Source organism: Homo sapiens, chromosome 22, assembly GCF_000001405.40.
Source record: "Homo sapiens chromosome 22, GRCh38.p14 Primary Assembly".
Taxonomy (NCBI): Eukaryota; Metazoa; Chordata; class Mammalia; order Primates; family Hominidae; genus Homo; species Homo sapiens.
In genome coordinates, this window is record NC_000022.11 from 44912878 (window position 1) to 44925605 (window position 12728).

Sequence of the window (12728 nt, forward strand, 5' to 3'; positions counted from 1 at the left end):
CAAAAAAAAAAAAAAAAAAAGACAAAAAGAAAGGAAAAAAGAAAAGGAAACTGGGTGGGAAGGGTTGAATGGAAAAGACCCAGAGTGGAGGATGTGGGGCTGGTGTTGGCCTAGGATGCCGAGGACCAAGCTGCAGTACACCTGCTGCCACCACCAGTTCAGCAAAGGACGGCCCTGAGTCAGCTGCTGTCCCCGCGCCACCATCAGTGCAGGGGCTGCGCATCCACTATGTATTTGGATGCTTCAATATGAGCTTATTTATCTGGCCTCCTTCAGAGGCTGTGTGGGAGAGGTGGAGACATAGGCAATTTCTGGCAAGTTCTCCAGGCACCTTCAGGAGACATCTGCACCTCTCGTGCCAGCCTGGGGCACAGCTACTTCTACAGTGCCCAGGGTCCTGCACACACCCAGGACTGGCCATGGCAGAGAAGAGGCAGGGGCCACTGCCCAGAGGAGCCCCTTTCCCTCCTAGACTCAGGACAGAGGGGCCCATAGCCGGGGCCCCTAGGATGGGGTGTAGTGGCCAAAAGTCCCCACCAGGTGCTGTCCAGGGGCTCAGCAAACATGAACTCGCAGAATCCTCCCAGCAGCCCTGTGAGGAAGGAGGCCCTGCCATTCCCACCTTACAGATGAGCAAACAGACGCGAGCTGCTCACGGTCACACCACTGGAAACTGGCAGTGCAGGACCCATGCAGAATGGTTCTAGAATTTGTGCTAACAACTGCCTCACACTGCCGTTCAGCCAGTGCCTCCCTGAGATAGAACAGTTGAGACCTGGGCTTGCTTGGCGAGGCCCCATCCTGGTCGCCGACTGCACAGGGCAGCTGTGCCCACGGCTTGTCGGGACCACCCCACAGTGAGGCCATCCCCGCTATACACAGCGGCCTCAGATGGCACCTGCAGACTGAGCAGGGCCTGGGCCCTCCGGAGAGGCCTGTCCTACCTCGGGGTTCTCCTGGGTCGGGGGCCGGTCTTCCTTCTTCTTTTTGGTGGCCTGAGCTCCCTGAGATGGCTCCTCTGTGGGCGGCCGCGACTCTGCCGTGCTCTCGGGCTGCGTCTGCACTTGAGGCTGAATGATGATGACCTGGAAGATGCCATGGAGGGGTGAAGGGGACAGTGATGGGGAGGGAGGGGTGAGGGGAAGAGAGGAGGGGTGGAGGGGACAGTGATGGGTTGCGGGGTGAGGGGAAGAGAGGAGGCGTGGAGGAGGCTGGAGAGCGAGGGTGAGGGGCACAGGGAGGAAGGGAAGAGTGAGGGGGGCTGGGGAGGTAGCTGGTATGGCACAGGGCAGGGGTTGGGGAGCACAGAGCCTGGGCCAGGCCAACCTGGGAGGGCGGATCCCCGGGAACTGGGTGGTTTGCGCCCCTGTCTGTCTAGCACCTGCCCCTCCTGACACACCTTTTCCACCATGGGGAGGGTCTGCATGAGAAGCTGGCCTGGTTTAGGAACTGGGAAGGTCTGGGTTCCAGTCCTGCCCCACCGCTTCCCAGCTGTGTGGCCTCAGGGGAGTCACTGCTTCTGAGAGTCAGGTTGGTCATCAGTGAAACTGGCCACACCTCTCCCCAGGGAGGCCGTGCACACTCAGGCGGCGAGGACTTCTCATCCCAGCTCAGGTGCAGATGAACTGAGGCCACGAGAGCTCAGACTTGCTCCTGGCCTGAGGCCATCCAGTCAGGAGGCAGAGGAGCTGGGAACCCCTCAGGTCAGCCTGGCTCCGTTTCTCCCTCCCCACACCACAGTGCCTGAGACACACAACCCTGGCTTGGGGGCACAGGTGGGAATAACATTCTATTTTTTTTCACTGCCATGAGGCCCCTCACGTGGTGGATGGGGAAGGGGAAGGGGGTCTTCAGATGCCACCCTGCAGCAGCCCCCCTTAGCCAGCCTGCCTCGAGGCTCAGGGGGTGATCTGGTTTGATGAAACGGTGTGATGCTGAAAGTCAGCCTGAAATCCACCCATCCGGCCCAGCCTCTCCCTGGGCCAGGATCCGCTCCATCTCTAGCTCTACCATTTTATTTCTTTGGACAGGAAATTGGGAAAGAATTATTAGTTTTCACGGCTCCAAGAAGAAGAATTCTCCAGGATCCATCAGCCACAGTCTGGTTTAAACTAGGAATTACTTGAACTTGGGTGTTTTTTTGGTTTGTTTTTCCCTAAGCACGGGTGGTGACTGTCTGATGAATTTGAGGCTTCTGAGCACAAAGAGAAAATATGTCCCATTTTTCTGCTGGCTTAAGGGAAGCTCTGTCTTCCTCTTTGTATCACATTTTTAAAACCCCAAAATCTCTGTATGGAAGAAATATGTCCATTTTTATATCCATGGGAAGAAAAACATTAAGATCTCCAATAAGAAAAAGGGCAAAGAATATTCTCAAGTCACACATGAGAAGATAGAATTCTTAAGTGTAAGAAAAACACTGAAGCTTAACAGTAACCAAGGGAATTCAACTTTCAACAATGAGGCATCTATGTGCCTAGTAAATGAACAAAACAGTGTTTAAATGACCAACATCAAATGCTGGTGCAGTTGGGTGAAACAGACACACTCCTTCCAGCATCTGCTAAGCACCTTGTCTGGATCAGGTGCCCTCCTGGGATACACCTGCCATCCCACCATGGCCCATGACAACTCTTCAGACTGCGAATTCTTTGAGGGGCCCTCAGTGGGCGGGAGAGCCTGGAAGCACAGGACTCCCGGGAATGCACTGGGTGCAACAGCACCAGCTCACATGAGGGTCGGCCGTCAACATCCAGGCTGGGGAAGCAGAAGGTACCCCAGCCATAAGCAAGAGAGGGGCGGCCTGGCAGACCCCAAATGGGGAACAGAGAGAAAGAGGCCACAGACAGGGGACGGCAGAGATGAGGCAGCCCCGAAGGCCTCAAACAGCACAACCACCAGGAGCTCGGAGGGGAGCAGCGGGAGGACCTTAGTTTTAGTTTTAAAACTTGGCAGAAATTATGGGAGATTGTGCACTTGGGCAGTGGGGTAAAAACAGCCCTTGACCGTCCAACTCCACCAGCAGAAACAGAGAATCAGTATCTCTTCTAGTCACTCATTCAGCCACACATGTCATTAATTGGTTAATCATTTGAATGAATTCATTCATTGACCAATCACTCCTTTTCCACTGGTATTAATTCATGCAGCCGTATTGTCTCTGGATCGCATATTCATTCATTTGTTCATGCACTAATTCACTCCCTTAATCATGTGTTCATACTCCATTCATTCATTTGCTCCTCTGTTTCCGTCCCATTCATTCATTTGTCCACTTGATCATTCTGCCTCCTGGTCATTCATCCTGCCTGGGCTTGTTCATTTGGCCCTTCCCAAATGATTGCTCTCGGCCTCCTGTATGCGGCCGCACACCCTTTCCGGAGCCTGCTGGTGGGCACTCACCTTGTTGTCAGCACTGATGAGGAGGGGCTGGACTTTGATGCTGTCACTGACCACAGACACGGCGGTGCTGGGGGCCATGGCGGCGGCATTGCTGGGGGAGGTGGAGATGATGGCGTAGGCCACCCCCGCACTGCTCAGCGGAGAGGCGAGGGCGGCGGGCTCGGCGAGGGCCTGGGGCTGGCTGCCGGGCGCTGGCACATGGCTGACAGTGTTGTTGGCGGTGGGGAGGGCTGGGCTGGGGTTCTTGACGCTGACCACGGTGGCCTTCTGGAATGTTGGGGGCTGCTTGGGTGGCCGGTCCCGGCCCGGGGCAACGGGGAGGCTGTCTGGAATCAGAGTCTTTGGCCTAACCTGGGAAGAAGGGACAGGTATGTGGTCAGACAGGCAGACACACAGGAGTGCAGGGGAGGGGCCGCCCTGGCTCGGAGACTTCCTATATTCAAGGGGAAGGGGCAGCACTGGAAAGAGCACAGCGCCTGTCACGGCCTCACAGCAGGTGAGACCTCGACCCCAATGCCTCCCTCCTCCTGGGCTTGCACCGACTGGCCACGGGGCTCAGGAGGGGCTGCTCTGGACCCACGGCCCTCCCAGCTGCACTCAGAGAAAACGGTGAAGAGCAGCGGGGAGGCTTGGAAGGCAGCGCTTGGGCGCGAGGGGACAGTCTGTGCAGTGTGACGCCCTGCAGATCAAGTCCCAAGCGGCAAAGCCCCCTTTGGCCTTGGAAGTCTGGAAAGCGCTGCCCCTCGGCAGGGACTGGGAGGGGCTTCGAGGGCTCCTGGGCCTTGCCCAGTTCTGCTTCTCAGTCTGGGTGGGGGCTGCTGCTGCGCTCCCGTGAAAACCAGAGCTGAGCCCGCGTGACTGCGGCGGGCCTGACAGTGAAGGTGTGCAGAGGGCAGCCGGGCAGCCACTGGGTGGTTCAGGCCAGGGCTCTGGACAGACTGTTGGTTTGGGCCCAATCCTGGCTCCTCTGGGGTCCTGGTGACACACCTGAACTGGGCCAGGTCCCTCATCTGCATGAGGTGATGAGACTTACTGGGGTTCGGAAGAAAGAAAATGCACAGGAAGTGCTGGGTGTACTTGACTGAGGGCTGTCACCAGCACCCCCACACCCAGCAGAGTGTTTCTGATGGTGGAAATTCCCATCAGAGCCACCACCACTGACCCCATGCATGGAACCAGGAGCGCCACATGCCCCAGATGAGGACACACCAACCCTGGGAGGTCCACGCCAATATTATGCCTTGAGAGACAAGGGGACAAGGAGAAGGGGTACGACCTGCCTTCTCATCTGAACCCCGCTGCGCTCGCACTGCAGGGTGGCCATCCTGGCCTGTTCTACAGATAAGCAAACTGAGGTGCATAATGGAGCCTCACCGGTAATAATGATGCTACCGTCGTTATCATTAGGGCCTGTCTGGCATCGGTGAAGGGCACAGAGCGCTGTACTGCCCCGCCCATCTCCTCCCACCCTGTGTCCAGTGGTGCATGTGGAAGGAGTGGTCCAGGGTGGCTCCTACAGGGCCCTGTGGCCTTGGGCAGGTCACCAAGGCACAGCGTGCTCTTCAGTTGGACAGTATCACGTCTGTCAGCTCCTCACCAGTGCCTGGCACAGAGCTGGCCCTTGAGTCTAGTGATCTCTGTGTCCCCTGCCATGCTGGGTCCTTAGCAAAATGAGCCCGGCCTCCCACATCAGGGCCCTGGCCACACCACGGGCAGGCGATGTGGCCAGCCTGGGTTCAGGTAAGCCTGCCACTCTGTCCTTGGCACCAGAGGTCAGGGCCTTTGTCCCCCAATGCCAGGCTTACAGCCCAACAGAAACTCCAATACCAAAGGCTTTAAAAAATCCATCTTCTCGTTCCTGCCGGCCCTCAGCTGGAGAAAGTTACCCGTTGGAAAACTGCTGTTCTCCGCCTCTGAAGAGGACTGGCGTGGGGGCGGATGGACACCCATGTGGTGGTCAGTGAGGACCTCAGCTGTGGCAGTGGCCGTTCCGTGTTCTGGTCGATCATCTGGGGTTTGCCCACATGTTCTTGTTGACCCTGGCCGCCCACCCTATGTAAGCAGACTCTGGGCATGGGCGAGCTGGCGTCAATCACAGATGCCAGACACAGAAACTAAGCTCAGCTGGAAGCTCAGGATCTGGCCTGAGCCACCCCACAGAGAACACCTTCAGGGGACCTTGGAGCTTATCATCTTTCTGCCTGTGCCTCCTGGCCTGTATGCAGCCCCAGGCCGGGAAGCCCCCGGGTCCACCCTGTCCCCACCCTCTCTCCTTTCTCAGATCTGCAGTCACCCTGCCAGGCTGGCCCCAACACAGGCTGCCTACTCTGTTGCCCGTGAGCCACCTGGGACAGCAGCAGCTGGTAGCTGGACCCGGCATGCACTGGACACCTTCTGGCCCAAGCTGACTGTCCTGGAGGCCAGCAGGCCAACGGCAGGTGCAGACTTTTGTGGGGCAGAGACAGCAAGGACAAAACATGGAGACAGAGGTCCAGGCGGAAGGGAGAGAGGAAGAAGAGAGGGTGCTGGGCAGAGGGAAATAGCACTGGCCTTGATTGGCAGCCTCTCCCTGGAGCCTGCCTTGCTCTGAAGCCTCGCATAGCTCCCTGCTGCCCAAGGGTCACCGACAGGAGAAGTCCAACTCTAAGGTCCCCATGGGCCCCTGGTGGCCTCTCCACCCCCAGGACTGTCCCAACCTCCCTCCCTCAGTGCTTTGACTCTGGTCTCTCCCTACCACCTCTGCCTCCGTTTCTCACCCTGCACCCTCCTCCTGGGGGGCTCCCTCTAGGGCCTAACTCTACCTCAGCCTGCAATGTCCTCTTACCCTGAGGTCTAGCTCAAGCACTACCTCCTCCAGGAAGCCTTCCTTGATGCCCAGGTGTGTGGCAAGTCTCCTCAGGGCTCCCGCCCCGCAGTGTCTCTTTCTGGCATGGCCCGATCACCCTGGACTCACAGTATCTGTTTTTCCTTGTCTGTCCTCCCTCTAGACCAAGCCTGTCCAAACCACAGGCTGCATGCGGCCCAGGATGGCTTCGAATGCGGCTCAACACAAATTCAAACCTTCTTAAAACAGTACGAGAGTTTTTTGCCATTTTTTTCCCTTTATCTCATCAGCTACTGTTAGTGTTAGTGTATTTTATGTGCGGCCTAAGACAATTCTTCTTCCAGTGTGGCCCAGGGAAACCAAAAGATTGGAAGATTGGCCACCCCTGCTCTAGACTCTGATTCAGCTCAAGTGGGCACTTGGGGAAAGTTGCCACATGAATGAGGGAGCTCAGGGCGGCCACCTCTCACCATCCTTGAGCTGGGGGAATCTGTCTAGCCCTGAGGTCCCACGACAGGCAGGGGCCATCTTGGTCTTTACCACTGGCAGCCTCTGGCCCAGTATGCTATATACAGCAAGTGCTCAACAAAGCTGAGCTTGTGGTAATAAGGGAGCTGGCTAATAACTACCTGGCGTTTGCTCTGTACCAGGCACGGTTACAAATGTTTTGTCTTGACTCAATACTCACAGCCACCATTGGCTCAACCCTCACAGCCACCAACGAAGGAAGCCGGCACCTGCACCAGTCCCTCTGCAGGTGAGAAGCCTCGGCCCAGGAAGGCTGAGAGGTCAGGTGACTGGGGCAAAGCGTGGAGTCCAGTCGGGGGGGACCCTGCACTAGAAGCCAGGGCACCTGGCCCAGAGTCTGTGCTGCCCCTCCCTGAAATGAATCCCCTCGTCCAGAGTGTCTCAAACTTCCTGACCATAACCCATAGTCAAAAATACACACGACGGAGTCACCCAGTCTTGAAACAAGTTGGTCAAGAAACAATGCATAGGATGCATATCTTGATATTTCCATTCTATTTTAGTCTGGCCTCATTTATTCCATTTTAAAAAATTCTGGTCATGACCCACTAAATTGATTTCCCAATTCCTTGCTGAAGAAACGTATCTGGTCCAAATGTTTCCATTGAAGAATGGATAGAAGAGGTAAGAGGGGAAGGTGCAGCTGAGAGGGCACGAGTTCCGCCTGGCCCAGTGCCCACCAGAAACCTCAGTGCTGAGGGGTTAGGAACAGAGACTGCGGGGACAGACAGACGGACACCCCAGGGCCCGCCCGAGGGCTGCTTACCTGAGGTAGCACTGCCGCTCCTTGCCCGGCCAACCTCTGCAAGGAGCTGACCTGAGGACCCGTGACAGGCACTGCAGTGATCGTTCCCAAAGCCTGAAACATACAGGAGGGCAACGCTGAGACAGGAGGAGCAGCTGAGACCGAATCCGTTGCCCCCAGCCTGGCCAAGCAGGGGGCAGCTGCCTTGGAGACAGCAAATTCTACTCTTCCCTTTCTTAATTATGATTTTTAAAAAATCACAATAGTAATCGATATTCCTTCCAGAAAGTTTGGAAACTAGAGAAAGGAAAAGAGCAGCACTGCCCAGAAATCAATTACCCTTTGTTACACATTGGCTTCCTCTTTTAAGTGAATTTTTTATACAGCTAAATATAGAATGTTGTAACCTATTTTTCTACTTTCACTTAAGGACAAGGTGTGATGTCGCTACGATCTTCATAAATCACTCCTTTAATGGCTATGGGATCTTCCATTCAGCAGACATAATGGTATTTCCTCAGACAATCCTCTACTCTTGGAAATTTGAGTTCTAGCTCCATCTTTTTCCAGTTAATAAACAATGCTGCAGCGAACATCTTTGTGGATAAATCCATTTCCACATCACAGAGCATTTCTGTAGGAGAGTCTGAATATGGGGATCCATGGACCAAAATGCAGGAATATTTTCAGGCCCTTGGTGCATATCTGCACTGGGTCCCTCAGGAGGGGGAACGGCCTGGGTGTGCACCAACCTGCCCCCCAAATCCCAGCCCCCCAATATGGGGGTCTCGCCAACACACGATGGGATGGCAGCACCACTAGCAGGGTGGACATTCAGGGTAAGGAGAAGGGAGATGGCACCCTCCCAGGAATTCCAGGCCCACACGCGTACAGGAGATGTGTTGTGGGGTGCTCACTTGTCTAAAGTCTCCTTTTGTGGGAACCACCACTACCCACAGCCCCCGATGGAACCGGAACAGTTCTTTTTTTTTTTCTTTTTTTTTTTCTTGAGACGGAGTCTTGCTCTGTCCCCAGGCTGGAGTGCAGTGGCGCGATCTCGGCTCATTGCAAGCTCCGCCTCCCGGGTTCACGCCATTCTCCTGCCTCAGCCTCCCGAGTAGCTGGAACTACAGGCGCTGCCACCACGCCTGGCTAATTTTTTGTATTTTTAGTAGAGACGGGGTTTCACCGTGTTAGCCAGGATGGTCTCAATCTCCTGACCTCATGATCCACCCCCCGCCTCGGCCTCCCAAAGTGCTAGGATTACAGGCATGAGCCACGGAACCCAGCCTTTCTTTTTCAGATGGAGACTCGCTCTGTTGCCCAGGTTGGAATGTAGTGGCGTGATCTTGGCTCACTGCAACCTCCGCCTCCTAGGTTCAAGTGATTCTCCCGCCTCAGCCTCCCGAGTAGCTGGGATTACAGGCGCCCGCCACCACGCCTGGGTAACTTTTGTATTTTTAGTAGAGATGGGGTTTCATTATGTTGGCCAGGCTGGTCTCAAACTCCTAACCTCAGGTGATCCACCCACCTCGGCCTCCCAAAGTGCTGGGATTATAGGCATGAGCCACCGCGCCCGGTCCTGATGGAGCAGTTCTACATGGCTACATTCGCACCCCACGAGCCTGCCTGATGGGGAGAGAGGGAACCCCTTGCTCAGATCCAGTCAAACCATCAGTGGCCAGGGACCAGTGAGGTTCTCTCTTGATCTCAGATGCAGAAATTCTTAACAGAATGTTAGCAAATCAATTCTAACAATAACAAAAAGGATAAGACATCATGAACAAGCTGGGTTTATCCCAGGACTGCAGGGCTGCTTTGCCATTTGAAAGTCAGTCTGTGTAATTTGCTAAAATAACACATGGAAGAAGAAAAACCGTATGCCGGCCTCAACAGATTTTCAAACAGCTGTTAGGACTAATAAATGAGTTTAGCCAGGTTGCAGGATAGAACAATATATAAAAATCAGTTGTGGGCTGGGCGCGGTGGCTCACGCCTGTAATCCCAGCACTTTGGGAGACCAAGGCAGGCAGATCACCTGAGGTCAGGAGTTCAAGACCAGCCTGACCAACATGGAGAAACCCCATCTCTACTAAAAATACAAAATTAGCCAGGCGTGATGGCACATGCCTCTAATCCCAGCTATTCAGGAGGCTGAGGCAGGAGAATCGCTTGAACCTGGGAGGTGGAGGTTGCAGTGAGCCGAGATCACACCACTGCACTCCAGCCTGGGCAACAAGAGTGAAACTCCATCTCAAAAAAAAAGAAAAAAAAAATCAGTTGTGTTTCTATACACTAGGCACCAACATTTAGAAATTCAAAAAATTTTAAATGCCATTTGCAATAGCATCAATAAATAAAAATAAGAAATAGGGATGAATCTGACAATAGCTATATAAGACCTGTACACTGGAAACTTCCAAATATCGCCAAAAGAATTGTTTAAAGACTTAAGAAAGAGATATACCGTAACCATGAATCAGAAGCCTCAACATTGTTAAGATTTCAATCCTTCCCAGATTGATCTACAGATTCAACACAACCTCAAATCAAAATCTCAGTCAGCTTTTTTTTAAAAAAATAGAAATTGACAAGATGATTTTAGAATGCATATGAAATTATAAGGGACCTAGAATAGCCAAAACTATGAAACAAACAAAAATAACAACCAAACAAAGGGAAAGATTTAACATTATCTGACTCCAAGACCCGCTATAAAGCTATGGTAATCAAGACAGTGTAGTATTGGTGTTAAGATGCATAAATAGATCAATGGAACAGAACAGAGAGTCCAAAGTAGACTTACACATACATAGTCCATTGATTTTCAGCAAAGCCCAAAAAGGTAATTAATTTAGTACAAAAAAGATAATGTTTTCAAAATGGTATTAGAACAAGGAGATATATACTAAAATCGAACAGAAAAGAACTTCAGTCCATACCACATACCATATCAAAAAAAAAAAAAAAAGAACAAATGGATCAGAGATCTGAATGTAGGGACCAAAACTATAAAACTGCTCGAACAAAATGTCTCAAATAAAATGTAACAGAAATCTTTGGGATGTTAGGTCAGGCAAAGAATCTTAGATACAACACCAAAAACATAATCGATATAAGGGCAAAATAATAAATTAACTTCAACAAAATAAGAAACTCCCAAAGATGGAAAGAGAATGTTAGGAAAATGCAAAAAGTGGCCACACCCTGGAAAAAAACACATACAAATCACCTATCTGATGAAAGCCTTGTATCCATAATATATGACAGAACTCTTAAAACTCAATAATCTGAAAACAAACAACTCATTAAAATGAACACAATATTTGAACAGATACTCCACTAAAGAAGATATACTGGGCCAGGCACAGTGCCTCATGCTTGAAATCCCAGCACTTTGGGAGGTGGAGGTAGGCCAATCTCTTGAGGCCAGGAGTTCAAAACCAGCCTGTGCAATATAGTCTCTAGAAAAAAAAAATTAAAAATTAGCTGAGCATGGTAGCACATGCCTGTAGTCTCAGCTGCTTGGGAGGCTGAGGCAGGAGGGTCACTTTAGGCCAGGAGGTTGAGGCTGCAGTGAGCCATGATTGCACCACTGCACTCCAGCCTGAGTGACAAAGTGAGATCCAAGAAGAAGAAGAAAGATGAAGAAGAAAGAAGAAAGAGGAGGAAGAAGAGGGAGGGAGGGAGGGAGGGGAGGGAAGAGGGGAGGAAGGAGGAGAGGAGGGAGGGGAGGGAAGAGGGGAGGAAGGAGAACAACAACAAAAACAACTACTGATGGCAAATAAGCAAATAAAAAATTACTAAACATAATTAGTTATTAGGGAAATGCAAATTAAAACCACAATAAGATACTGCTACAAGCCTATTCAGATGGCTAAAATTAAAAAGACTGACCAAATCAAGTGCTGGTGAGGATGTAGAGCAAATGGAACTCTCAACCACTGCTGTCGGGAACATAAAATGATACGCTTTGAAAGACAGTTTGGCAGTTAAAAAGTTAAACTTATGTATGGCAATGAACAGAACGTATGTGTCCTCTCCCAGATCCAAATGTTGAAATCCTAACCCTCAATGTGATGGTATTTGGAGATGGGGCCTCCGGGAGGTGATCCGGTCATGAGGGTGGAGCCCTCAGTTAGTGCTCTTATAAGAAGAGACACGAGGGAGTTTGTGTCCTCTCTCTCTCTCATTCTCTTTCTCTCTCTGCCATGGGCAAATACAGCAAGAAGGTGGCCATCAGCAAACCAGGAATAGAGCCCTCATCAGGAACTGAATCTGCTGGCACCTTGATCTTGGACTTCCCAGCCTCCAGAACCATAAGAAACTGATTTCTGTTGCTTAAGCCAGCCAGTCCATGGTATTTTTGTTATGGCAGCCTGGGCAGACTAGGACATTTATGATACGAGACAGCCATTCTATTCCTAAGCATTCGCCAAGAGAAGGGAAGGCACGTGTTCATACAGAGACTTGTACGTGAATGTTCACAGCAGCTCTTGGTGTCACAGCACAAATGGGAAGCAACCCAAACGCTCACCAACAAGTACACGGATGAGCAAGCTGTGGTATCTTCACACGACAGAGTATTACTCAGCAATAAAAAGGAACAAACTACTGACACACACAATATGGATGAATCACAAAATAACACTGCCAAAAAAACCCAGACTCCAAAAAATATCCATACTGTATGATGCTAGTTATACGAAATTCTGAAAATGGCAAACAAAGTGACAGAAAATAAATCCCAGGTTTTGTGGAGATGGTGCAGGGACGAGAGGAAGGGATTACAAAACGACACCAGGACATTTTCAGGGAGAAAGATGTGTTCACGATCTTCATTGTGGCAATGGGTTCACATTTGTCAAACTTATATTGTACATTCTAAATACATGCAGCTCATTGTGTATCACTTATACCTCCACAAAGCTGTTAAAAATTCCCTCCCCATTTCTCTCCTTATCTAATCTCTCTCCACCCCTAGAATGAATATCATCCATCCTCAAATGACATGGCAGAGGGTCTCAGGCCCCACCACAGAGCTGCTTCTCTCATTATGCTCGGACGGCGGTTCCTGCCTCCTCTTTGCCACCTGTCCCATGGGGGTCAAAACTCTGAGAGGCTCATGTCCTCTGAGCCAACTGCCTGTCTCTCTGCATGGAACCAAATGACCCACATTCCCCTGGATATCCACTTTGGACATTTGTTAAAACAGAGCTTTTTATGCAA

General features: G+C 51.6%; 1 protein-coding gene across 9 annotated transcripts in view; it reads right to left on the reverse strand.

The window, feature by feature from the left end:
- Positions 1-12728, reverse strand: part of PHF21B (PHD finger protein 21B) — a 128844-nt gene that overhangs the window by 31716 nt on the left and 84400 nt on the right. For 8 of the 9 annotated variants that reach the window (NR_134535.1, NM_001135862.3, NM_001413063.1 and 5 more), the window contains 3 exons: positions 7521-7613; positions 3403-3753; positions 945-1085 (listed from right to left, as the gene is read on the reverse strand). Coding sequence is in view for 8 of the 9 variants with exons in the window: in NM_001135862.3 (NP_001129334.1) it covers positions 945-1085; positions 3403-3753; positions 7521-7613 (585 nt within the window). In the remaining variant the exon portion in view is untranslated. Of the gene's footprint in view, positions 1-944; positions 1212-3402; positions 3754-7520; positions 7614-12728 lie in introns of all 9 variants that reach the window. The other variant, NM_138415.5, reaches the window with a different exon arrangement.